A 27,502-nucleotide genomic window follows, 5' to 3' on the forward strand; every position below is an offset into this window, starting at 1 on the left:
CTTCCATGTGGCATCTGGCAGGTTTCCCAGGGTAGAGGAAAGCATGAGCCAAGTCTTGAAGGCTGAGCAGGAGTTAGCCAGTTGAATGTGGAGAGAAGAGAAGTGTTGGAGGAAGGCAATGCAGACAGGGAGTATAGCTCATGAAAAACTGGAAAAGAGGTTGGGCGCGGTGGCTTACGCCTGTAATCCCAGCACTTTGGGAGGCTGAGGTGGGCAGAACACGAGGTCAAGAGATCGATACCATCCTGGCCAACATGGTGAAACCCTGTCTCTACTAAAAATACAAAAATTAGCTGGGCGTGGTGGTGCATGCCTGTAGTCCCAGCTACTTGGGAGGCTGAGGCATGAGAATCGCTTGAACCCAGGAGGCAGAGCTTGCAGTGAGCCGAGATCACGCCACTGCATTCCAGCCTGGAGACAGAGCAAGACTCCGTCTCAAAAAAAAAAGGAAAAGGAGAATATGTAAAGAGCGTAGCTCATGCGAAGATGCTATGGATGATTCATAAAGAAGAGCTCCCAGTGTGTTTGGAATGATGTTACTGCCATCGGAATGAATATGGGGACTGGTAGGGGCCCATGGGGATTACACTTAATACATTTATACCTAAAGTTTCTCAAGAACTCTCTCTTAACGAATGCGCATAGGCCTCCGACTCTTGAGATATTTAGGCCTGCAGTTTGATAGAGGAAAAACAGACATAAAATCCAGTTGGAATTTCACCTGGCAAATGTTTATCTGTCGTTTGGAAGCACACAGGATTTTTTTTTTAATTGAGGCGAGGGAATGTGATCAGACAAGCTACTTCCCAAATAGGTGGCACACAATCACAGAAATAATTCACATATGGCCTGGAAGACAATAGATTCCAAAATTGTAGTAAAGCAATTCCTAAACTAAATGGTACAAGGCTGGAGGGCCTCTGAGCCCTCTTCCAGTACTGAGCTAAGAATATGTCCCCTCTAGTGAGCTGGAGAACTGTGCTTCAGAACCTAGAGCTCCTGTCCTGTTCGAGAGGGAAGAAAAGCAACATATAGGGAGGGAAAAGAGAATTCTTGGAGCAAAATATTGGGAGAGTATATTTCATTGTCAGGTTGAACAAACAGAATTCCACAAGACAGTGTTGCCAGGAATAGAATATCGACTGTGCACACACTTCTAAAGATGAAGAAAATGTAAGTGGGGGTTCTTGGGCTTAGAGACACATATGTGGGCTCTTTGGGTTAGGTTAGGTGAGTGGTCTCCCTGAGGTTCAGCTGGCAAAGACCCAAGAAGCAACTTCTTAAGCTCATCTCCAAATAGCCCCCTGATCTCCCCAAGGCTGCCACCACATTGCCAGGCTGGTTGTGAAACTGCTTTTCCAGAATTGCTTGCACGTGCAGAGAACTGGTCTCCTGTTAAGGTCAGCCCTGTAAAAAAGGGGGCAAGAATCAAAGGACTCTTGAAGGAAACACAGGAACTCTTCCTTAGCTCTTGATCGGCCTGTTTCCTGCCCATGTGGGTTTGAAGTGTGAGGGAGGGTAAGCACACAGCAGGACACAAAGCCATGAGCCGTCCTTCCTTCTAAGGGTGTCTTAGCTCCAAGATGACTTTAAAAACAGTCTTCCTCTGGGGATGACACAGGCCATAATTTCACACAGATTTACTTGATCAAACTGGCTTTGTGCCATGATAATACCAATAGTCCTTTACACAGAAATCAATGATTTAGAAGCTATCACCCTGTTTTACACATGAGGAAACTAAGACAGAACTTCAAGACCAAAGTTCTTAATGACTCCACTGTCCTGTTAATCATGTCAGGCAATTAGTAATTCACAAAATAGTCACCTGGGTTTAAGATGTATTACTTTCAGTTACTGCTAGAATTGTTCCAGTTCAACTCATACATATTTAAAATGAGTAGTCTGTCAAACACAGTGCTTGGTGCTGGGGCGTTGAAGACAGAAAGCTCATTGTCTAAGGAAGAAGACAGACATGTCAATATTTAATTAGAACAATGTCATTAGATTGATTAGTTGTGTGTGCCTTCCTATAAATAAAAATCTTTATTTTAAAATTATAGAGGAAATGAAATACAAAACTAAGCATGCAAAGCAATAAGTGAATATCTTCTATGGTGCTGCTTCTCTCAGCCCCCATGTGCCTGCCAGTTTTATCAGCAACAGGTAACACTGTTATCAGGTTGGTGTATGACTTCTAAGCTTAGATGTCATCGTACTGTTCTACATCTTGTTTTCTTCACTTTATATTTCAAGGCTCATGCAAACTTATAATACCCTATTACATGTATGTACCGTTATTTATTTAGAGATGCTTCTGTTGATGAACTTTATATTGTTTACAGTTTGTGGCTATATGCTGCAATGAATATCCTTGCCATATCTTTGCATATTTTTACTGGTAAATATGAAAGATACATTTTTATTATAATTGTTAAAGTTAATATACAGTATAATTGGCTTTTGTGTGTATACAACTCTATGAGTTTTAACACATACACTCATGTATCTGCCACTAAGAACAGCGATCAGGATACAGAATAGTACCATCACCCCAAAAATCTTTTTTGTGCTGCCCCTTTGTAGTCAGATTTCTCCCAGCCCTAATCCTTGGCAGCCACTCATCTGGTCTCATCCCTACAGGCCTGCCTTTCTTAGAATGTCATATAAATGCAGTCGGACAGTAGGTAGAAGATGATTTTAGCTTCTTCACTCAGCATAATGCCATGTTGCTGCAAGTAGCAATAGGTTTTTTCTTTTCATTGTTGAGTAGCATGGATATACTATAGCTTGTTTATGTATTTATCCACTGAAGGATATTTGGGTGCTTCCAGTTTGGGGTGATTATGAATAAATAGAGCTGCTATAAACATTCTATTTTTTTTTTTTTTTTTTTTGGCGGGGGGGACGGAGTCTTGCTCTGTCTCCCAGGCTGGAGTGCAGTGGCGTGACCTCGGCTCACTGCAAGCTCCGCCTCCCGGGTTCACGCCATTCTCCTGCCTCAGCCTCTCGAGTAGCTGGGACTACAGGTGCCCACCACCACGCCCGGCTAATTTTTTGTATTTTTAGTAGAGACGGGGTTTCACCGTGTTAGCCAGGATGGTCTTGATCTCCTGACCTTGTGATCTGCCCGCCTCGGCCTCCCAAAGTGCTGGGATTACAGGCGTGAGACACTGCGCCCGGCCAACATTCATTGTATGAATGTACATTTTCATTTCTGAAGGGTAAATGCCTACAAGTGGGATTGTTGGGTGATACGTAAGTGTATGTTTAACTTTATAAGAAATTGTTAAACCAATTTCCACAGTGGCTATACCACCCATTTTAAATTACTTCCATCAATGGATGAGAATTGCAGTTCCTACACATTCTCTTTAGCACTGGGTATTATCAGGTTTTCTTTTTTCTTTCTTCTTTTTTTGTTTTTTGATCTGTTCTAATAGGTTTGTAGCAGTATCTCATTGTGGTTTCACTTAGCATTTCCATAATGTTTAATGATATTAAACATCTTTTGTGCTTATTTGCCATCTATACATTTTCTCTGGTGAAGTGTCTCAAATCTTTTGCTCATTTAAAAAAATTGAGTTGTTTTCTTACTGTTGAGTTTTGAGAGCTTTTTATGCATTCTAGATGCAAGTCATTTGCCAGATATGTGATTAGCAAATATTTTCTCCCAGTTCATGGTTTGTCCTTTTATTTTCTTAACAATGTCTTCCATAGACTAAAGTTTTAAATCTTAATAAAATTTAGCGTAACAATTTCTTTTTTATTCATGGTGTCTATGACAGCTAATTTTTGGTGTCATAGCTAACAATCACTTTCTAACTCCAGTGTCATGAAGATTTTCTTCTATATACCTAAAGTTTTGTATTTTAATGTTTTACACGATGTATTTTTAGTGAATTTTTGTATACATGGGTGGTTTTAGGTTAGGGCTCTTTTTTTGCATATTGATGTCCAAGTGTTCCAGTATTATTTGTTGAAAACAACTTCATTGAATTGTTAGACATTTTTGACGTGAGATGGTGTAATATAGTTTAATTGTTGAAAGAATGGAGTGAAACCAGTCCACCTAAATTTCAGTCTCAGCTCTGCTACAAATTAGCTGTGTAACAATCACCAAGTATTTAATCTTTCTTTGTCATAGTCTCCTTTTCTGTTAAATGGAAACAGTCATAGTACCTACTGCCTAGATTGCTATGAGGATTGAGTTATTATGTGTTGACACACTTAGAGTAGTACCTGACATAATAAGTGATGAATTAGGGTTAGCTTTTATATAACTTTTCAGTTATTGTAGATATTGCGAGCACGTCCTGTAAACATGTTTTACTAATTACACTGCCCATCAACAATATAGATGTTTCTATTCAACAGCCAGCACCAGATATTATGACCCTCTCCATTCTTTGACAATTTGATAGGCAAATAATGAGATGTCTTTTTAGTTTGTATTTTGAGATCTGTGGTCAGGTTAAACATCTTTTCAACTTTTCACATGTTGTGAGTATATCAGCTTTTGATGAGTAACAAGGCATCCAAAACATAATGGTAAAACAGCAAACATTTATTATGACTTATGCTTCTGTATGTCATCTGGGAAACTCTTTGGCTTAAGCTGGATTGGTCTCTCATCCTCTAGCGGGTTAGTCTTGGCGTCTCCTCATGATGGCCTCAGGGTTCCATAGAGCAGCAGCAAGAGTGCAAGCCCAGTGGGAGAGCCCAGTGGGCAAGCACTTTTCAAGCCTCTGCTTATGCCACATTGGCTAATCCTCCATTGATCAAAAGAAGTCCCATGGCCAAGCCTAGATTCAAGAGATGGAGAAAGAAACTCCACTTCTTGATGGAATGAAATGCAAAATATTGTGACCACTTTTTCATGAATCTACTGCGACTGGCTGTTTGTGTTTCCTTCTCTGTGAATTGCTATTGGTTCAACGACTTATGAAATTTCTTTATATGTTATACATATTAACTCCTTAAGTTTTACATGTAACATACGTTTTACATGTAACAGTATTTTTCTACTTGGTCATTTAACTTCATTTATATAATCTTTTGCTGTATAGAAGGTTTTGGCTTTTTCTGTGATAAAATCTATCAGTGTTTTTTCTTCATGACATTGGATGGCCAGAATGTAAGCTTTTTGAAGGCAGAAACCATATTTTATTTTTTATTATTTTCTTGACCCACAGAAAGCAGCACAGAGCCCAGCCCATAGTAATAAAGGTTTATTGAATGAATGCATTCACTGAAGGCCAATCTCACTCACTCATTTATTTATTTATTCATTCATCAATGTTTATGGAATACCTATTATAAACCAGGCATTGTGCTCATTGTTAGAGATACAGCGATGGGCAAAATTGACTTTTAGATGGTGTTTAGACTAAAGCATGGTAGGTAGTAATGGAACTTATTATCAATGAGACATAGGTTCAAATTGTATCTTTCTACTTATGTGACCTTGGGCATATCCCTAAACATTCCTGAATTTCAGGGTTTTTTAACCTATAAAATTGAGTGTAAATGCTTTCCTTCAATAGTGTGAGAATTCAAGTGGACAATGTTTGTAAAGCACTTAGCATTGTGTTTATTATGTATTATATAATAAAAATTGTCAGCTTCCTTTTCTACATGGTATAATCTCAGGCCTACTAGGAAGGCTAGGTGACTTCTTTTGTCAATCTCCTCTTAGCAAATATAATCCTGAATTTCTTCCATTATAGACTCGTTTCTTTGATTTGCTCCTCCAATCGTTCTCCGTGAATTGTCACTTTGAGCAATTCTTGCTTATTCTCCTCTTTGTGCAGGCAAGTCAGTCAAATTGCCTTCTCTGTTGGGAGCAGAAGAACAGGGCACTGAGGAGACACTGAATTTTGTTCAGTGCTGTCTTGGAAGATAGATATGCTTGGTTGTGGGTGTGGGTATGTACGTCTTTGAGCAGCATAAGGGTAGTTGGGAACTTGGCAGGTAATTGAATCAGGAGAAGAGCCCAGAAAAAGGTGGTCTGGTTCCAAAGATGCATTTTTCCCATACCGGGTATCCTGGTGCTGATAAACACAGTGCATTTAGAGAGCATCCCACTCCTGAGACAAAGTGAGTAGGGAAGATGATGAGGCAGCACTGCCAGGCTTAAGGGAATCTGTAAGGTGGCCAAAACTCCTCTCTAGATATTCTCAATTTCTCTGTCCTGTACCCTTTCTAGCTTTTTAGCCACCTCTCCTCAAAATCTTTTTTCTCTTCCCCCAATTTCTACCAAACTCCAGGATTCTCCAGGCGCCCTCCTGCCAGATGTATATACATTCCATATTCCCTCACACTAAGGACTTGGCTGTTAACACTGCTACTCTGGGGTGACAGAAAGGGCCCTGGAGAGAAATCAGCACTTGAGGGCTGGCTCTACCACTACCCTTTGTGCAATCACCAACTGGTCTCTTTTCTATATGCCTCAGATTGCCTGTTATAAAGTGTAAGGCTTGGCCAGGCATGTTGGCTTATGCCTGTAATCCCAGCATTTTGGGAGGCCAAGGCAGGAGCTTCACTTGAGCCCAGAGGTTCGAGACCAGCCTAGGCAACACAGTGATACCCCCATCTCTACAAAAAATTTAAAGATTAGCTGGGGGGAGGGGTGTTGCATGCCTGTAGTTCTGGCTATTCAGGAGGCTGAGGTGGGAGGATAACTTGAGCCCTTGAGTTCGAGGCTGCAGTGAGCAGTGACTGTGCCACTGCACTGCAGCCTGGGTGACAAGAGTGAGACACTGTCTCAAAAAAATAAGGTGTGAGGCTTGCACCAAGCAGTCTGTAAAACCTCTTCCGGTGTAAACAATCCTTGATTTGATGGAACCATGCTTCCTGCACCCCCACTGCCTCACAGAATGGAGTTTGCATATAAATGAATGTTCAGTAAAGTCTCGTTGTGTGGATGCTCTGTCTGTTCCCTGGAAATAAAAAGTTTCCTGCCAGCTGACTGATCCTCATTCTAACTAACACATGTGTTATTTGGCCTAGATGGAAAATTTCCGGCGTTTGAAGGTGGCGAGAGGATGTCATTCCCTCCAGCAGACAGACAAGGGTGCCATTTGGCTGGAAAGCAGGGATGGGAAACGGGCATGGCCTTTGGGGAAACTGGCTTGGTACAACTCCTGGGTGAGCACAGGAGTTTGTTGTTAGAGAGTCACAGCCCAGTCACATCCAGGATGCCCCTGGATAACTCTGAACTCCCAGCTATACAATAAAAATGTTAGCAACTTCCTTTAGTTATTTCCAGTCTTGTATATTTTGGTATCTTCTTGTTAGCTGCCCAATATCTTCTTGGAAGGAATCTTGAGGAAGAAGTTATTGCTCAGAGACTTACTACATACACAAAAGGAAGACAGAGAATAAAAAAGGATTAAAGTGTTGGAAACATGCCTGGGAACTGGATTTCTTCATGGGAGACAAGAAGGCAGAAAAGATACTGAAAATACTTTAACATAAGGGTTGACACAGAGGAATAGTGCTGGTAGTTCTTAGGGCCCAACAGAAAGAAATTAATAGCAACTTTAAGATAGAGAAAGAACATTCTAGAATTGAGTCCTACTAAAAACTCATTTTTGAAAAATGAGTAACTACTGCTCAGTAGTTACCATTTTGGGGAAGATTTTTCTGATTATCTTCTCATCTCTCTCTTGCTTTGCCTGGCTAACCCCAACTTTCCTTTAGACTAAAAGTCCACAAACCCTCCTTCAAAACAGTCAAGTCTGATAAAGTTTACCATTATGGTGTCTCATAAGCATCTTGTAATTCTCTCTCTTAGTACCTGTCTGTATTTATGTGTTTATGTGATTAGTTTTCCATGTCTGTCTCCTACATTTGCCTATAAGCTACGAGACGGTTGTATATTCACTGCTGTGTCTCCAGGGCCAAGTGCAGTACTGGGCACAGGGGAAGCATGCAATAAGTCTGCGTGGTAAGTGAATGAATGGACACATAAACAACTTAATGAGTGCTTTTTGAACTGAAGATAATTTTTCTTTTTCAGGACAGCAAAAACAAAAAACCTAAACTAAAATCCAAACAATTTCGCAAAATATCCTGGATAGTTTGGGAGTTGTCTTTGCTTCTTTGGCTCATTGCCACGGCCTTAATTCCAGAAATGCTTTTGACTCAGACCTTTTCAGTTCATTGCCAGTTCCCTGATTTCTGAAATGCCTTTGGCCAAGGAAGTGCTAATTGGTATTTCAAATATTTAGAACTTTAAGATACCTACTTCTGTTACAAAGATGAAATTACCATGAACACCTTTTGAAAAATTTAACCATAGCTAATACCAAATTTCCAAAAAACCATACAGTGACCATACAGTTAGTTGTTCTGAAGACATGACGCATTATTCCAAACACACCTTAGCAGAATTCCACCCAATACTACAATTCTGAGGTAGTAAGAAGCACAAGGGAATAAGCCTGCGATGCAATAATTTAATCTGCCTAAAATTGTCTCCTAGCTTGCCAACACTTCGAAGATCAGGGAACTGGGTAAATCAGGACTTGATTTCATCTGCAGCTGTATGTGAACTGGAATGTGGAAAAAAAAAAAAAAGCTAATTGGAGCAAGCATGTTGTGCTGCAGTGGAGTGTATTTTCATTGATATGTTTAACCTTTCATCCCCTTCATCTGTGAAAAAATGAAAATTGCTGACCTTTGAGGTTTTATGTTTTTAATTAAGCAAAATTTTTTTCTTTCAAATAAAATCTTATATGAAGCCCCCCCGCCGCAAAAAAATAAAATAAAATAAAGTTGAGTAGCTCACTGGGAGTGGGTGAGGGTGTGGGTCTAGAGTCCATTCTGTTGATTTCACCTCTTCCACTCTCAGAAACTTCTGGAGCACCTTTTTAGAACATGAGAAATTACAGTTTCTTTAAACACAGTTTAACATGGCTCTGTCTCTAATTTCTAATGTAATTAAATTCTATAATATGGGTGTTGATTCAGGCCCACAATAATTTCCATAACTATTTTTAAATAAAAATATTCCCATGTCTTAGTTAATGGCTCATTATTCATAGCAATATTGAATACAAGAAAATGTAAATATAAAAACTAGAGTTAAACAACATTTTGAGTTCACCATAATAAGATTTAGTGAGAAGACGCTACTAAGAAAGATTAGATACTGTTCAATATAGAACACAGAAAATACAGTGAGCAAAACATTTTAGAGGATTGTTATGCTTCACTTGTGATGCTTGGTTGTTAACTTGGTAGACGTCATGCCACAATGCCAAGTAGTTCCTTATAAACAAGGACACACTTTTATGCAAACATTGAAAAAGTGTTTGAGGCTGGGCGCATGGCTCACACATGTAATCCCAGCACTTTGGGAGGCCGAGGCGGGTGGATCACGACGTCAGGAGTTCAAGACCAGCCTGGCCAACATGGTGAAACCCCGCCTCTACTAAAAATAGAAAAAAAATTAGCTGGGCGTGGTCGCGGGCACTTGTAATCCCAGCTACTCGAGAGGCTGAGGCAGGAGATTCTTTTGAACCCGGGAGGCGGAAGTTGCAGTGAGCCCAGATCGCACCATTGTACTCCAGCCTGGGCGACAGGGCGAGACTCCGTCTCAAAAAAAGAAAAAGTATTTGAGAGATCTTTGTTAAGGAAAAATAGCATTAATCTCTAAAACTTATAAGATGTATGATATTAAATATGCATCTTGTTTCAGCAAATTATTAGCCTTCATGATAGAAGTATGAATTAAACTATTAATGAATTTGATCAGAGCCTTTTAGATATGGTTGTGATGAAACAACTCACTATCCGTCCCCAACATGATTTGGAGAGGATAGCGCTATAATGTAAGAAAGGGTATTAAGCAGAGAGATTGATATTGGTATGAGCCCAGATAGGATCTGTCTTCTGGCAATGATTCTCAGGAAATGTCTCTATTAGAAAATGTCTTGAGTGGCACCAGATATGCAGTGGCAGCCATGCCTTTCATGGTGTCAGCAGCAGAACTCTTTCAAGAAGCCACGGACCACAGTTGTACTCGTTGTCGTGGAGCCTCTGCTCTATTCTTTCTGAAAGGCTGTTTGGCTACTTTTTTTTTCAGCATTAAGTTTTAACTCCTTTATTTTTCAGCATTGTGAGATAACATCACATTTCCTATTATTAGTTCAAAGAAGAGAGAAAGAGAAAAATGCATTATTTGGATGTAATTTGAAATTTGGAGTAGATATAGGGCTGAAGGATGAGACATAAAGGGACATATATGTCCATGGCTCTTGATTCTTTTCCAGCTGCCATTTTTTTCTCTCTCTCTTTCTGTCTCTCTTTTATTTATTTATTTATTTTTATTACACTTTAAGTTCTTGGATACATGTGCAGAACGTGCAGGTCTGTTACATAGGTATACACATGCCATGGTGGCTTGCTGCACCCATCAACCTGTCATCTACATTAGGTATTTCTCCTAAGGCTATCCCTCCCTGACCTCAGGTGATCCGCCTGCCTCAATCTCCCAAAGTGCTGGAATTACAGGCATGAGCCACCGCGCCCAGCCTCCAGCTGCCCCTTTTTAAGAAATGGGCCATAACACTTTTTTTTACGTTTAATTTTTATGTGTGAATAATAGTCAAATTGTTCAAAAGCCAGTACACACAAGCATATAGGGAAAAGTCTTCCTTTTACCATTGTGCCCCAACTACCCAGTTCCCCCGAATAGGTCATCGTTGTTCTTCTTTTTATGTGTCACCTTCTAGAAATTCTTTAGGCAGATACTAGCAAATACAACTATAGATTCTCATTTTAAGAAAACTAAGCAGGTGATTTTCAAGACTCATCCTAGGAAGCTGGTAGGTATGTCTTCTTATACCCAAAGCTCACATAGAAGATCCTTCTGGTACTGTAAATGGGGTTACAAAGGACAGAGTACTGGCTGGTGGAAGAGGTCTTCCTTAACCGGCATGCTGAACAAGGGTAGCGAAGTATAGTCAAGTCCAGACTCCCAGAGGCCACAATTTCCTTTTCCGTCACTGAAAGTAAAGGGAGATCTCTGAAAGGAGCAAGAGGAAAAAGAAACTAGATACATACCTAGAAATAATTTATACATAGCTTGGTTGTCTTTTCAAATCAACTGCATTTTGTATTATTTCCTAAAGCTATTAAATAAACCACGGCCACTGCCACCGCTGGGAGCTCAGAGCAGATCCTGTGGTTTTGGCAAGACTCTTGACTGGCCCTAGAAATGGGGCTGGATTGAACTGGAGTTGAAAGAATTACAGTGTTTCCTTCCTCTTGATGACTCTTTCTGGAACATGCCTGGAATGTGTGAGTGTGAGAGATGAAGTGGTGTTCACTCAGAGTCAGGCCTGGGTATGTACGTGGAAGGGGAGGTGTGTGCTGGTGTTATTTTTGGAGGCTGTAATTCCACTGTTAGGCTTTGTAGCTCGTCGTCTCTTTCAATGTTTTTACTATCCTAACTTGTATTCTCTGTCCTGAGATCTTAAAAGTTACCAATGAGGCTAGAAGTAAAATGGATGCTTCAAGGCCAGGCTTGGGAACTCATTCTAGTGGAGATTTTCTCCCTCAATCTCATGTAATGAGTTAATATTACAATAAAATGCAGGTGTAACTCCTGCTTACACGAAGACTTGACTTTGAAATTTTTCTTTCTAATCATTCAGATAAAGGTTTAATTTGTACCAAGATTATCCTCAAAACATCACTGAATACAGTAAACACTGGCAATTGCCATTAAAAACAAATTATATGAGGACTTTATATCAGGTACAATGCTTGACATAAGTAGGTGCTCAAAAATTCTGGTAAATGAATATTAGCCTTAAACGCTCAGCAGTCATTGGTCACTTTTCTTTGGCATTTTGTAAAAATTGTAATGTTTTTTTCCCCAAAACATTGGGAATAATGTTTTTTTGCCCCAAAACAGTTAAATATGGGCAAGGAGGTCAGTTCAGACTCGGGGGAGCACTTTTGTTTTTTTTTTTTTTTGAGACAGAATTTTGCTCTTTGTCGCCCAGTCTGGTGCGCAGCACTGGAACCTCTGCCTCCCGGGCTCAAATGATTCTCCTGTCTCAGCCTCCCGAGTAGCTGGGATTACAGGCACCCACCACCACACCCAGCTAATTTTTGTATTTTTAATAGAGACAACGTTTCACCATGTTGACCAGGCTGGTCTCAAACTCCTGACCTCAGGTGATCCCCCTGCCTCGGCCTCCCAAAGTGCTGGGATTGCAGGCATGAGCCACTGTGCCTGGCCCGCACTTTCATTTTTAACCTTATTATTCTAGAATTGGAAGCCGAGCAAATGGATGGACTTCAGTCAGGCAGATCTGAAATAAAATTTGCCCATCCATCCATCCCATTCATCCATACACTCATCCAACAAATACTTAAGTCCTCTATATGTTGAGATTACGGAGAATATTCCATTGTAAACCAATTCCTAAATTCCTCTTCCTATACAGAACATTTGGAGTTTATCATTTAGAGGGAGAGTAAATAAAATAATCACAAATTATGGTAATCTGTATGAATAAAACAGGAGGCCAAATTAGAGGTCAATGGGATGAGAGTGTATAGGTATTATAGATAAGGCAGGTAGAGAAGCCTTCTATGAGAAAGTGGCACTTAAGCTGAGACCCAAAGGACAAGCAGAAGGTGGCCATGCCAAGAGTGGAGAAAAACATTCCAGGCAGAAGGAACAGCAAAGGCTTTGAGGTAGGAAAGAGTATCTTGTATCCAAGGAATCAAAGACCAGTGAGCATTTGAATCCCAGCTCTGCCTTCAATAGCTGTGGAAAATGAAACTAGCTGCTCAATCTTTTGAGCCTTCATTTCTTCATATTTAAAATTGAGATAATGGTGCATACCTCACAGAGTTGCTGAATTTAATGGGTATTCAATAAGATAACATGTAGCTTATTTGAATCACTTCTACACAAAGGTCTCTGAGACTCTAGTTGGGCCCTCATCACTCAATTGATTTTTCTAGTCTCCTGATTGTTTTATGCACATTTGAGAGCCAACCATCACTGGAGCTAGAGAACATTTTCCATCCCTGATATTTCCACATTTAAAGAGGAGAGAATAGACACAGACTCTATCTGCTCATGTTAGAACCTTTAGAAATCAAAAAAGGGAGGGGTGGGGAGGGGAGAGAGAGAAAGAAAGAGAAATAGTGAGAAAATAACATGAGAGGATTTTCTTTTTAAAAGTGTACTTCCTCATTTACAGAACAAATTCATAAAATTTAAAGTTTGGGTAAGGTTTTGTTTTTGTTTTTACATTTGGGGAGAGGGTAAGGTTTGGGGCTAAGTGTTCAGGAAACAGAATAAAGAGAAATGAAATAATAATCACTGAGTATGCAATATATAACAGACAGAGTGGTTGGCAAGTTATGTATTTTATCTTATTTAATCTTTACAAGAATCCTGATGGAGTAAATGAGGCCCTGAGGGAAATGAAGACTTCACTTAGTCACTGTCTGTCACTTATCTTGAGGTATTTAATGTGGAATTGTGCAATTCTTTAAAAATGAGAATCTATAAGGCATAAGTTTATGTAGTTGATATATTTCTTTAGAATACTTTATTATTGTGACAGTATCACATTAGCATCAATTGATAACTAATAGTTAAATGAATAATGATAATGTCATTATTATTAATTCATCTTAATACTACATACATTTCCTGAATACCCAGCTATGTCTAGTGCATGGCTTGTTGGGGGAATAATGGGTAGTCCATTGCAACTAGGGTATGCAGTGGGGCAGGAGAGGTTAGCAGGGTCTAGCTGATGAAGGGTCTTGATGCCTTGGTAAAGAGTTTTGGATTTTGTCCAGTGGAAGATAGGCACATGGTCAGAATAGCATTTTAGAAAGAATCCTCACACAACTTTAAGACAAGGCTTTGTGAGCACCAGTTTACCCAATGGGGTCATGTTAATAACCTTAGTCATACATTATTGTCTCTCTTTCCTTTTAGGAACTGTGGAAGGTGCCATGGACTTGATCTTGATCAATTCCCTACCTCTTGTATCTGATGCTGAAACATCTCTCACCTGCATTGCCTCTGGGTGGCGCCCCCATGAGCCCATCACCATAGGAAGGGACTTTGAAGCCTTAATGAACCAGCACCAGGATCCGCTGGAAGTTACTCAAGATGTGACCAGAGAATGGGCTAAAAAAGTTGTTTGGAAGAGAGAAAAGGCTAGTAAGATCAATGGTGCTTATTTCTGTGAAGGGCGAGTTCGAGGAGAGGCAATCAGGATACGAACCATGAAGATGCGTCAACAAGGTAACATGCCCCTAAGTTTTGGGCAGGTGAGGCCCACTGAGGAACACACACACCTTTTGTCTTGGCAGCTGCTCCCTCAGGGGCAGGGCATGCACTACCTGAATGTAGAGCTTGACGATCTTGCCTGTCTCTTTCCATGCATCACCGTGTCTGGTACATGGAATGTTAGAGATAAAGGAGACTACCCAGTCCAACCCCTTAACTAGATACTGTGCCTACTTTGTGAGATGAAATATTTCATATGTTCTAAGGGCATCATGGTACTTATGGATAGTTGACTGTTACATGTATGTAATATGAAAATCATAGCAATGAAAACAAGTGTTCATTGCCAAACTACTATTTTGAGCTTTCTTATTTGATTTTTCATGTGATACATTGCTTTGCTTGTCCCTAAATACCCTTAATGGAAGTTAATATTTTCAGGAGAAAATTAAATATAAATAAGAATTTTAGAAGGGGAATATCCATCAGTAACTTAATTTAATTAGTTATTTGGTATATCAACTTTCTTTTCCTTTTTTTTTTTTTTTGGGGGGGTGGAGTCTCACTCTGTCACCGGACTAGAGTGCAGTGGCATGATTTTGGCTCACTGCAACCTCCGCCTCCCGGGTTCAAGCGATTCTTCTGCCTCAGCCTCCCAAGTAGCTGGGATTACAGGCAAGCACCACCACACCCAGCTAATTTTTTATATTTTTAGTAGAGACAGGGTGTCACCATATTGGCCAGGACGATCTTGATCTGTAGACCTCGTGATCTGCCCGCCATGGCCTCCCAAAGTGTTGGGATTACAGGCGTGAGCCACCATGCCCGGCCAGTGTATCAATTTTCTATTGCCACAATAATGCTGTGTAACATAACCACAAACCACAGTGGCATACAATAATGAGCATTTATAGCTTGTGAGTCTAAGTCAGCTGTGTTGATTAGATGGATGTATTGACCTTGGTTGGGATTCCTTACATATATGGTGTTGCCTGGCTATAGGCTTAGTAGGCTGGCCTTGGCTGGGGCAACTTTGCTCAGTTCCTTATACTATAGCAGGCTAAGGTAGTATAAGGTCATAGTGTACAATTCTCAGCTTAGGTTGCCAGGAGCCTCATGTGTTTCTATTTTTTTGTACCACTGCCATCTACATTTCATGTACATGAGATGTAGACATGAGGCTCTTTGCAACCTAGGCTCAGAATTGTACACTATCACTTCTGCTTCATTTTATCAACCTAAGCCAGTTAAGTAGCTGAGCCTAGTATCAGAGTGAGAGGGCACTACAAACTGAAATGACAAAGAGTCAGGGATACAGGGAGGGATGAAGAATTAGGGCCCTCTTTGCAGGCTACCATTTTTGGAAAAGGACCATGATTTAATTTTAGCAGTCGAGTACCCAGGTCCAGCTCAGAAAACACCAGAATTTTGCCGGAGGATTTTGAAAGCCTCCTCTAAGGGAGGATTATTAAGACTTGCTACCACCCCACAAGGTGATGATGTGATGAAGTCTTCCTCCCAAAATAAAAGTGGGCCTTAAGCTAAATCTTTAGACCAGTCCACCTGTGTGATGGCAGTTGAAGGAGATGGTGTTGCAAATATTATTTAATAATTGTATTATAAGGTTCCAGTCCTGGACAGGCAGGCAGACTTCTGGTGCTCTTGATGCTGTCTGCTGGGAGGAAGGTACAGAATTCCAGCTAAGGTGACCTCTCTTTGTTCTGCCTGGAATGATCTGGCCTCTCCCCTATCAGCCACTTTGTCTGGGCTGCTGATTCCTAAAATGAAGGAGTCTTTTCCAAATTAGTATCATCACAACCACAGGAGCTGTGGACTGAGGACTTGTCATTACATAAAATAATGACATTGTCAGCTGTTTAGGGTTTTTTTTTTTTTTTTTTTTTTTTTTTTTTAAAGACAAGGGTCTTGCTGTTGCCCAGGCTGGAGTGCAGTGGCACAATTACAGTTCACTGCAGCCTTGACCTCCCGGGCTCATGCTGTTCTCCCACCTCAGCCTCCCAAGTAGCTGGGACTACAGGCATGCACCACCATGCCTGGCTAATTAAACGAATTTTTCATAGATATGGGGGTCCTGCTTTGCTGCCTAGGCTGGTCTTGAACTACTAGCTTCAAGCCATCCTCCCACTATGGCCTCTCAAAGTGCTGGGATTATAGGTGTGAGCCCACCAGGCCTGACTTTTAGAAAGCTGATCCAGTTAAGTAACACACCTCTGCACATTGCTGATTGGCTGTTTCTTTTATAATCTAACCATCTGTAGTCTGCATTTTTTTTAGATCAATGCTTTTTAAAGTTGAACATGCTTACAGATCACCTGTAGTTCTTGTAAACATGCAGACTCTGATTTAATAGGTTGTTTGGGACAGTCCTGGGATTATGCAGTTCTACCCAGGTCCCAGGTGATGAGAATCTGCTCGACCATGGACCACGCTTTGAGTAGCAGTTTAGAGTTAGCCTCTAACTTGGGTCCAGCTGAAAATATTTCTTTGAATTTACTAATGGTAGTAATGAAAAGATTTGAAGGCAGCAAACTCATTTTAAGGTCAAAAGTAATAAAATTGCTGTTCATTCCAAATGAAGGAAAGGGTTTTCTTAGCAAAACTAGAATGTTCACCTTTAAATGACAGCAGGGCAAGTGGGAAAAGTGCACAACAGAAATTCCCAGGAATGCAGCTCTCCGTTGAGGGAAGAGAGGTTGAACAAAGGGATGTGAGGTGTGCCAAAGCTATCATGGCTGAAAGTCAGCTCTATTATTTTTCACATGTGTCATTTTGGATTTGACTTGTATAAAGACTAATATTCTTCTGCTGATGTTTCCACATTCTAAAGGAAGATGATCTGAGATTATGCCCCAGTCATTTCGTGGGAACAAAATGTGAAGTGCCACTGTGTCCTTGCTGTACTGTCCTGAGGTCATCCTTGACAATGTATAAATAAGAACATGTAAAGCAAACTGGACCAGAACATTGGGAGTTAAAAACCCGCTGTAATGATCCCCCCAAACTGAGAGGCTAGGTGATCACAGGTAAAGGATGGCTTAACTTCAGTTAAATAAGGCAAAGGCAGACCTGGATAGTGAGAAACACTAACGAGAAGATGGCTTTTAGAATTATGCTCACTTGAGTTTTAATTCGTTCTCCATCACTCACCAGCTGTGTGGCCTTTGGCAAGTTATTTAACTTCTATTGGTCTCATTTATCATCATCTGTGAAATGGGTATAATAATACCTACAAAATTGTTTTGTTTTAAATAAGTTGGTATATACAAGAAGCATCGATTTACACAGTGAACGTTGTCCCTAAAAGCTTAGGTAAAGCAATATATTGCAGAATAAGGTACATAGTAATAAGAATAATAGCAGCTTGTAAATGGTGGGAATGGCATTTGATGCCGAGTGATCTGACTTCAGAGCCAGTATTTATTACCACTACGCTACCCTTTGGATATCATTCTCACTTAATGTTAGCAACTCTCCCTGATTCTGAGCTCTTGTTTTATAAAGTACAATGATCCTACCTGAAGTCCTAAAAAGCAACCCAGGGCACAGAGTAGAGGTATGAGAGTGGAAGTCAGACAGATATGGGTTCGAGTCTACCTCTGCAACTGAGTGGTGTGGCTCAGGACAAGTTACTTAATTGAAGTCATATTTTTTCCTCATGTGAAAAAAAATAAGGATAGAGATTTTATCACACATATTTGGAAATTAAATGAGGCACTTAACTATTACCAATTACATTATCTGCTTCACAGTAAATGTTTAACAACTGATTATTGTAATTTCTTTGAGTAATAGGTGAGATAATTTTCCGACTCAATTGTAGAAATTTTTACTATGCATTCACATATTATGGAGTTTTACACAAAATGGAAAAATAGGTATGTTCTCTCCTGTATTTTAACAATAACAGCATCTCAGGCTGATGAACAGGTTCTGTTTTTCTTGCTGACCATCCAGTGGGGGAAATCTGGTTTGAGGAAAGTGAAATCCTTTATGATGAATCAGGAAAAACCTCCAAAACTATGTTTTCATGTCACTATTAATTCGTTATTAAAACATCATGGAAACTCAGAAATGCCTGCCTAGGGACACAGCAGGATAAAATAAACATCAATATATTCCTGCTTGCTGCTGACTCGTACATCTGTGGAGGAAGTGGAAAATCCATTTGAGATGTGCCAAAACACAGCTTAAATTGGCTCACACACTCCAAACAGACAAACTGGATTTTATCAATGGCATCATCCAAAATAGTCAACAGCAGTTTGACTCAAACCTCCTTGGTGATTTCATTTGGGGGTAGGAAATTATATATAAAGTTTGAAACGTTTTCAGATCCAAAGACCTGTTTCAAACTGATCCATTAGAAGAAACAGAGGGTTATTTTATTCCTACTTTCATTTGAGAAATAGCTTTATATTAAGAATATCAAACTTCCCAAACATAATTTACGAAGTTGTTAGAGAAGAGCCATTTGCACCTAAATAACCAAAGGAATATGTTAAAAGCATCAAGAAAATGGGAAAATCTGAAACAGTTTAGTTCATTTATACTTTCATTCCACAATTTTTCTTTTCTTTTTTTTTTTTAGACGGAGTCTTGCTCTGTCACCCAGGCTGGAGTGCAGTGGCGCGATCTCGGCTCACTGCAACCTCTGCCTCCTGGGTTCAAGTGATTCTCCTGCCTCAGCCTCCCGAGCAGCTGGGACTACAGGTGCGCACCACCATGCCCAGCTTGTTTTCGTATTTTTAGTAGAGACAGGGCTTTACCATGTTGGCCGGGGTGGTCTCCATCTCCCGACCTTGTGATCCACCCACCTCAGCCTCCTAAAGTGCTGGGATTACAGGCGTGAGCCAGTGCGCCCAGCCACCACAATTATTCTTGAGCCTCTATTTTTGCCACATGTTTTCCTGAATACTTGTATGCCTGACATTCCCCTAGCAACTTCATATGTATTACTAACTTAGTCTTTATCAAATATATATCAGATGAGGACTTTTAAGACCCCACTAATAATAGATGAGGCTTGGCTATTGTAACTTAACGTGCATTTACTAGCTAGTGAGTGTTGGATCTGGGAAGGTGAAGTCAGGCCCGATTCTAGAAGCCTGGCTTTAACCATCACCCTGTGCTACCTTTCAAAACAGATGTGATCTTGCCCTCCTGGAACACCCAATCTAGTAGGGGATATATACCATGAGTGGGGCTATAATGAAAAAATGCAGGGTATTTAGGGAGTAGCTATGAGGGCATCTAACCTGTGTTCCAGGTGTTGTGTGAGGTCTCTGAAAATTCCTAAATGGAAACTGATGAATGAGCAGGAGCTGGTGAGGCTGAGGAGAAAAGGAGGAGAAAAGAAGAAAGAAAACTCATGACTTGGACATGAGTGATGAGATCTGGCTGAGGAACTGAATACAGTTCAAAGTGGCTGGAATTGAGAGCTAAGGATGTGGACCTGGAGAATGATAAGTCTGGAGAACTAGGGGTGGAGGTCTTGAGTTTGTGTCTCAACTTCCACATTTATTCACTGTTGATAGGCCTTGGGTAAGGGACTTAGTCTTCCTTAACTCCATCTCCCATATGGATAAACTGTAGCTATACTGTCTTCACAGGACTGTGGTGAAATTGCACAAAATAATCACAGATATGAAACTACATTATTTCCTGTAGTACTTACACAACAATTAAATTGAAAGGAGATGACTGAAATTGAGCTCACTTGTTTTTCATCTGTGTTTTCACTTGTGTATAACTTTTACTACCACCTACTTTCTTCTCCAGACCTTATGGAATAAGGAATTATATTTTTAGTTAAGTTCTGCCCATGAATTAGCCCATCCAAATGATCTTAAGCAAGTTATCTTCCAACCTAGGCCTCAGCAGTATCAAATTTAAAATGAGGTGGTTGGACCTTAAAGCCTTCTGAGTGCTAACATTACATAATCTATGAAAGCATCCAGAGCGAGATTCCTTGGTTCAAATCCTGGCTCTCCCATGTATATGCTGTGTGATCTTGGACAGGTTACCTAGCTTCTCTGTACCTTAATTTCCTCATCTGTAAAATTAGGATAATTGTAGTACCTATCTCATAGGGATATTATAAAAAGTAATTTTTATTTAGTTGGAGTCTCGCTCTGTTGCCCAGGCTGGAGTGCAGTAGCTCATTACAGTCTTGATTTTTTTTTTTTTTTTGAGATGGAGTCTCACTCTGTCACTGAGGCTGGAGTGCAGTGGCGCAATCTCAGCTCACTGCAAGCTCCGCCTCCTGGGTTCACGCCATTCTCCTGCCTAAGCCTCCTGAGTAGCTGGGACTACAGGCGCCCGCTACCACGCCCGGCTAATTTTTTGTATTTTTAGTAGAGATGGAGTTTCAATGTGTTAGCCAGGATGATGTCGATCTCCTGACCTTGTGATCTGCCCACCTTGGCCTCACAAAGTGCTGGGATTACAGGCGTGAGCAACTACGCCTGGCCTACAGTCTTGATTTCTTAAGCTCAAGTGATCCTCCTGAACAGCTGGGACTACAAGCATGTGCTACCATACCTAGCTAATTTTTAAATATTTTTTTTGTATGGAGCGGGGGTCTCACTGTGTTGCCTAGGCTGGTCTCAAACTCCTGGCCTTAAGAGATCCTCCCACCTTGGCCTCCCAAAATTTTGGGATTAGAAGCATGAGCCACCGCCCCCAGGTTGACAATTAAATTTGTGTAAAGTGCTTATAACAGCACTTGGTCCATAGTAGGTGCTATTAAAAGGTATTTATCGTTTTTATGGCCTAGTCAAGTCACATAACATCAATATATGTGTACTGAATACAAGCCAGGCTCCTGTGTCATCAGAAAGCCCAAAGTAGAACATGAATGTTGGATTTCCTTCGTTAGTACTCAACAGAGAGCAATCAGCCTAGAGACATTCATGCAGAGGTAAACTCTGGACAGCAGTGAAACTCTGGTGTGATAATGCCCCTAAGAAAACAGGAGGTTAAAAAGCACAGTCCTAAATAATAAAGAGCCACAGAGTGGTGGGGGGAAAGCTACTTGGAATTGAGCCTACTGGGGAACCTTGGTTCCTTTCAGAACACAATACTGAGTGAGAAGTCCCACGGTCAGCTAAACAATTCTCACACAAAGGAGCAGAAAATATAAACAAACCATATAGACAGGAACAACAGCATGAAATGGTCAGAAAAAAATTCTCGTAGGAGTCCAGGAGCATGCCACAGAGAGCAAGAGCTGCATGCATTTGGAGGTCTAAATGAAGCACTTGGCAACGTGAGCAGAAGCCCCACAAAGACAGCCCCCCTCACCATCCAGTCCCCTGTCTGCTCTTCCTTTATGGCTGGCTCATTTTAGTGCTCTGGAGAAAAGTGTCCCTCATGCTCATATCACAAATGTCAGCACAGCAGTGTTGCTGTTTATATTAGAAGGATACCGACCTCTTCTAGGCACCTCAGGGCTTAGCCTACATCACTTAATATTACTAACAACCTTTGAAGGTAGGTATCATTACTTTTCAATTACACATGAGAAAACTGAGATTTGCAGAGGTGAAGCAGCTTTCAAAAAGGGTGGCAGAGGGTGGATCCAAGCCCAGGAATGTGTCTGATTCCAGCGCTCGCACTGCTGGAATGATCTACCCCGTGCTCTCTCTGGGTTTGCCCCCAGGTCATCATCTGCACCAAAGGCATTCACATACCTGACCACCAGGGGAGTCTGTGCAAGGCACCCATGCTAGGATCCGCAGGCACAGCCCACAGCCGATGAAAGCAAGCAGGCAAACCTAAAGCCCAGGTCCTTCTGAGCATGGTTCGGAGGCATCTTTTGCCCTCACAGGGTAGTTGTCTCAGCCAGTGGCGCGCACAGCGCTTGATTAGTCTTTCTCAAACCACCATCTGAAAGCCACGGATGAGATGAGAATGAGGGCACAGCGACCAGCTGGTTCATCACAAGGTCCTCAGCAGGATCCCTATGATCCCAAGGCTTGGTCCTGGTCTGAATCTTTATAGGAATTCTTACTTTGGGGGACAGGATGTTTTGCTATTAATTTCTAATTTAGGTGCATTCTGGTCAGAGAATTTTGTTATTAACAGAGATGTGCTTTGTGGATAAACAGGCAATGTTCTGGTAAATAATGTGTATTTCAATAACTGAGCAAGGGGTTAATGAATATTCAACAGATCTCTAATAGTGTTATTAAAATCTTCTAAATATTTCCTTAGTAATTTTCAGTCTTTTTGATTAATTTCTGAAAGTTTCCACCGTGTTCACGGATTTGTCAGTTTCTTTAATTCTGACACTTTTTGTTTCATGAGCTTTGAAATTCTGTTGTTAGATGCATATATAATTTCAGGATTACAATATCTTCCTGAACATGACACGTGAATAAAATCTAACAAGGTTTTATCAGTTAGTAGATGGTTCTGTTTTATCATTACATAATGACCATCTATATCCCTAATTTTTAGCTTTATAATAATTTTTTCTGTATAAATGTTGCAATACTAGCTTTATTTAGTATTAGTTTGCTATATATTTTTATATCCCTTTATTCACAATCTTATGTGCCATTATGTCGAATGTATACTTCATGAAAGAGCACACAGTTTTATGTGTGTGTGTGTTTTAGAATTGAGATTCTAGAATCTAAGATTTTCTGATCTGAATTTGATGTGAGCTCCTGTCTTTTAACATACATTTGGCATAATGTCTGCCACCTTATCCTATCTTTTCCACACCATGATTTTCTCTGGTCCTTTTTTTCTCATTTTATGTCTTTTGTTTCCTTATCTTCTCTCTTGCCCTCTTGTTGAGGAAAGTTAGATAGACTGTTTCTCTTCCTTTAGTGGTGATCCTTATATTGTTAACATTGGCTTAACTTAAAGCCTAAAGCTAATGCCTCCTTATGTCACAGAGTTTGGCTTTCTGCAGATTATGATATAAGTTAAGGGAATTCAGAAACTCTTGTTGCTGGAAGAAAGTTAGAAGATTTTATTCCCATATCTTGTCCAATAAGCCAAGGGAATCAGTCAATGTTGCATGGCAAGCTTGACACAGTAACAGAAATTTTCAATCAATTGGCTTATTTTATTTTATTTTATTTTTGAGACTGAGTCTTGCTCTGTTGCCCATGCTGGAGTGCAGTGGCATGATCTTGGCTCACTGCAATCTCCGCCTCCCGGATTCAAGCAATTCTCCTACCTCAGCCTCCCGAGTAGCTGGAATTAAAGGCATGTCCCACCGTGCCCGGCTAATTTTTGTATTTTTAGTAGAGATGGGGTTTTGCCATGTTGGCCAGGCTCGTCTCGAACTCCTGACCTCAAGTGATCTGTCTACGGTGGCATCCCAAAGGGCTGGGATTACAGGCATGAGCCACTGTGCCTGGCCTTGGCTTATGATTTTGTAAGTCAAATATAAAATAATTTTCCCAGTTACATGTCAGTACTGTCCAGTTCCATAACTGTGTCAGTTCATACATATATAATTAAAAGGTAGAAGGCAAGATATTAGATTCCATCCTTGTCTTTATTCTTCAATCTTCCAATATTTACACCATAAGTAGTAAGTCCAGCATTTTGCTCATTTTATTTGAGCAACGCATGGGGCATTCTAAAGCAATTAGAATTATTTGGAACAACAGCAACACAAAAGGACCAGGGGAAAAGCCATTTGGTAAATTTTTTTTCTCTTTCACTTTGGGGAAACTCAGATTTCATTCATGTTTTTTTTTTCCCACTTTAAGAATACTTGGGATTGGAGAAGGATGGCAGATTCATAGTTAATATAGTTTATTGTTAGTATCAGGACTTAGTTTGATAATAGGTACAGTTTGAGTGTTCCAAATCCAAAAATCTGAAATCTGAGATGCTCCAAGATCCAAAAATATTTGAGAGCCAATTTGATGCTCAAAGGAAATGTTCATTGGAGCATTTTGGATTTCAGATTTTCTGATTTGGGATCCTTAGCTGGCATAATGCAAATATTTCAAAATGGAAAAATAAAATCTGAAACACTTCTGGTCCTAAGTATCTGAGATAAGGGATATTCATTCTGAACTAATCAACACAAAGTCCTCATCTCCCCAACCACTGAATAGAAAAATTGTGTATAGGCATATTGTTTGTATATATTTACACTCTTATAAAGGAAGTGACCATCCCTTTCATCAGATTCTTAGAAAGGTACATAATGTTAAGAAAGGTTAAAACGCATTAGCCACCACTGTTTTTCACCTTCCAAAAACCATCTGACACCTAGCAAGTGCCAGCCCTCATTTTCTGAGTCTCAAAGCTCAATTGCTCCTGGAGAAAATGTGTGATCCCATTTTTGGTATTTGTTTTCTCTCTTTTAAAAGCTTCCTTCCTACCAGCTACTTTAACTATGACTGTGGACAAGGGAGATAACGTGAACATATCTTTCAAAAAGGTATTGATTAAAGAAGAAGATGCAGTGATTTACAAAAATGGTGAGTATGTGTTTCATTGCTTTCCCCAGTATGATGTGAGATATCAGATAACATACAACATATTGAATCATTTTCCTATTGTGGTCTTGTGGGCAGATGTTTGAATTAAAGCTGCTATGATGCAAGCTTTCAAATTCTGTGTATGATAGAAGCCCTCTTAGGTGACATATTTGGTTACTTAAGGATATTAAAGTGGAATTCATATATATGAATGTACATGGTGTATGTACATACAATAAAACCCCATCATAATGTGAGATCCCAACTTCAGCCATATAAAGTGTGAGTTTCTTTGATTGTGACATTGTTGATTGCAAGGTTTAGGAAATTACCACAGTAAACATGGGAAGCCAATTGTTAGCAGTTCTGGCAGTCCAACTGTGTAATCCAAATGTGTCTAGGTCCTAGCTATGGTTTCGTACCACCCAGTGTCAGTTGCCTGATCCAGCTGGAATATTGATGGGGATCATTCTGAAGTCTGTGAGTGGATAGGACTTCCAGATTGGAGTAGCGATTATAGATATCTCCTGGTTAATTGGTTAGTTGACAGGGTTACCTATCATTTTTCACCTAACTTTGCCTGCCAACTATGTTCGCCTCTCCCTGTAGAATGTAAGAACTTAGACCACCCCCATCTTCATGTGTTTGGTGGTAGATCCCACAGACTAACCTATCTGTTCTATCACTATGACTTTCTTGACTATTGAGAGAGTACTGAATAGTTCAGCATTTTCATTCTTCTCCCACATCCAATATGTGAGAGCACATTTTCTTGACCATGTCAGGGAAAGCTAATTAAGTGGAGAAACCAGACAAGGAAGCAGGTATGTTTCAGTGTGACCTACGGTTCTTCACTCTTCCCTCTTACTAGGTTCCTTCATCCATTCAGTGCCCCGGCATGAAGTACCTGATATTCTAGAAGTACACCTGCCTCATGCTCAGCCCCAGGATGCTGGAGTGTACTCGGCCAGGTATATAGGAGGAAACCTCTTCACCTCGGCCTTCACCAGGCTGATAGTCCGGAGTAAGTGATGGAGAGGCCACCATTTGTGATGGTGTAGTTGTTAGGTTGTTAGGATTTTTAGTTGCAAATAACAGAAACTAACCATGGCTTCTTAAGCAAAAACCAGGCATTGGTTGGAGGTTGTATTAGTCTGTTCTTATGCTGCAAAGCAAATGAATAAGAGATAGCAATCATTAGAGGAATGACAGAGAAACCCAGGTATTTAGACCTGAAGACTTAAATATTTAATATTACAAATACTTGATACAGCTGGGGAAAACTCAGGGCAAATCATTTTCTTTTCTCAGGGCAAATCATTTCTAATTTCACATGCTCTTTATTGAGACATACCTGAGACTGGGTAATTTATTAAGGGAAGAGGTTTAATTGACTCACAGTTCAATATGGCTGGGGAGACATCAGGAAATTTACAATCATGGCAAAAGAGGAAGCAAACACATCCTTCTTCACATGGCGGCAGGAGAGAGAAGAATGAGAGTGAAGGAGAGGGGGAAGCACCATATTAAACCATCAAATCTCATGAGAACTCACTCACTATCATGTGAACAGCATGAGGGCAACTGCCTCCATGATTAAATGACCTCTTACCTCCTACTGGGTTCCTCCCACAACACGTGGGGATTATGGGAACTACAATTCAAGATGAGATTTGGGTAGGGACACAGCCAAACCATACCAGACGGGGACACTAAGGACTCTTAATAAACTGATGGGAAAGCTGAAAAGTGGCTGGGTACGGTGGCTCATGCCTGTAATCTCAGCACTTTGAGAGGCCCTTTGAGCTCAAGAGTTTGAGACCAGCCTGGGCAACATGGCAAAACCCCGTCTCTACAAAAAATACAAAAATTAGCCAGGCATGGTGATGCATGCCTGTAGTTCTAGCTATTTGACAGGTTGAGGTGGGAGGATAGTTCAAGCTCGGGAGGTCGAGGCTGCAGTGGGCCAGGCTGGTTGAAAGAGCAAGACCTTGTCTCAAAAACAAAAACAAAAACTATAAAGCAAGTTCCAGAAAAGATAAGCTTCAAGGAAGAGCTGAGGCTCAGTTGTGGTGGGTGTGGGGAGGTAAGGGAGTGGGCTTTCTCTCTAAGATGCTGCTTTTACCATGTCTCAGCTTCAGCAATGTTTCTTTCACTTCCAAATTTTGAATTTCCAGGATAAATAATCAGATTGGCCTAACATATATTAGATGTCTATCAGCCTAGACCAGTGAGCTATAGACAAGGGTGGAGTCACGTACTACACGTTACAGGCACTAGAAGCTCACATTTGTACAGCATAATCATCCATATAAAAAGGGGGATCACAACGAGTAAAGCAGTCTCACTGAAACGTGTCTGCTCTAGGGGGATGAGTTGGACCTCTTGGGTTAGACTAACATCTGCTTAAACATTGCCTCCTGTAAATCCCACACTTCCCAGGTCATTTAACTCTTATGTGTGATTTTTATTTTCAGTTTTGAAAAATGTAAGAGTTAGAACTAGTAAAAACTTTTTTTCTCCATTATAACTATTGAAGTGGGGGCATAAATATCACCATTACATTTTCCTGTAATTTTTACAGGAACTTCACAAATAGAAAGAAAATGATTTGCCCTGAATTTTCCCCAGCTAGATCAGGTTTTCATAATATTAAATATTGAAGTCTTCAGGTCTAAATGCCTGGGCTTCTCTGTCATTCCTCTAACGATTGCCATCTCCAATTCATTTGCTTTGCGTT

The 27,502-nt window shown here is 40.4% G+C and overlaps 1 protein-coding gene across 5 annotated transcripts in view; it reads left to right on the plus strand.

Moving 5' to 3' along the window:
- TEK (TEK receptor tyrosine kinase) overlaps nucleotides 1-27,502 on the plus strand; it is a 120,950-nt gene that overhangs the window by 34,619 nt on the left and 58,829 nt on the right. For 4 of the 5 annotated variants that reach the window (NM_000459.5, NM_001290077.2, NM_001375475.1 and 1 more), the window contains exons 2-4: nucleotides 13,988-14,299; nucleotides 24,652-24,762; nucleotides 25,634-25,786. In NM_000459.5, the coding sequence (NP_000450.3) occupies nucleotides 13,988-14,299; nucleotides 24,652-24,762; nucleotides 25,634-25,786 (576 nt within the window). The remainder of the gene's footprint in view (nucleotides 1-13,987; nucleotides 14,300-24,651; nucleotides 24,763-25,633; nucleotides 25,787-27,502) is intronic. The other variant, NM_001290078.2, reaches the window with a different exon arrangement.

The sequence above is a fragment of the Homo sapiens genome, chromosome 9 (genome assembly GCF_000001405.40).
Source record: "Homo sapiens chromosome 9, GRCh38.p14 Primary Assembly".
NCBI lineage: Eukaryota > Metazoa > Chordata > Mammalia > Primates > Hominidae > Homo > Homo sapiens.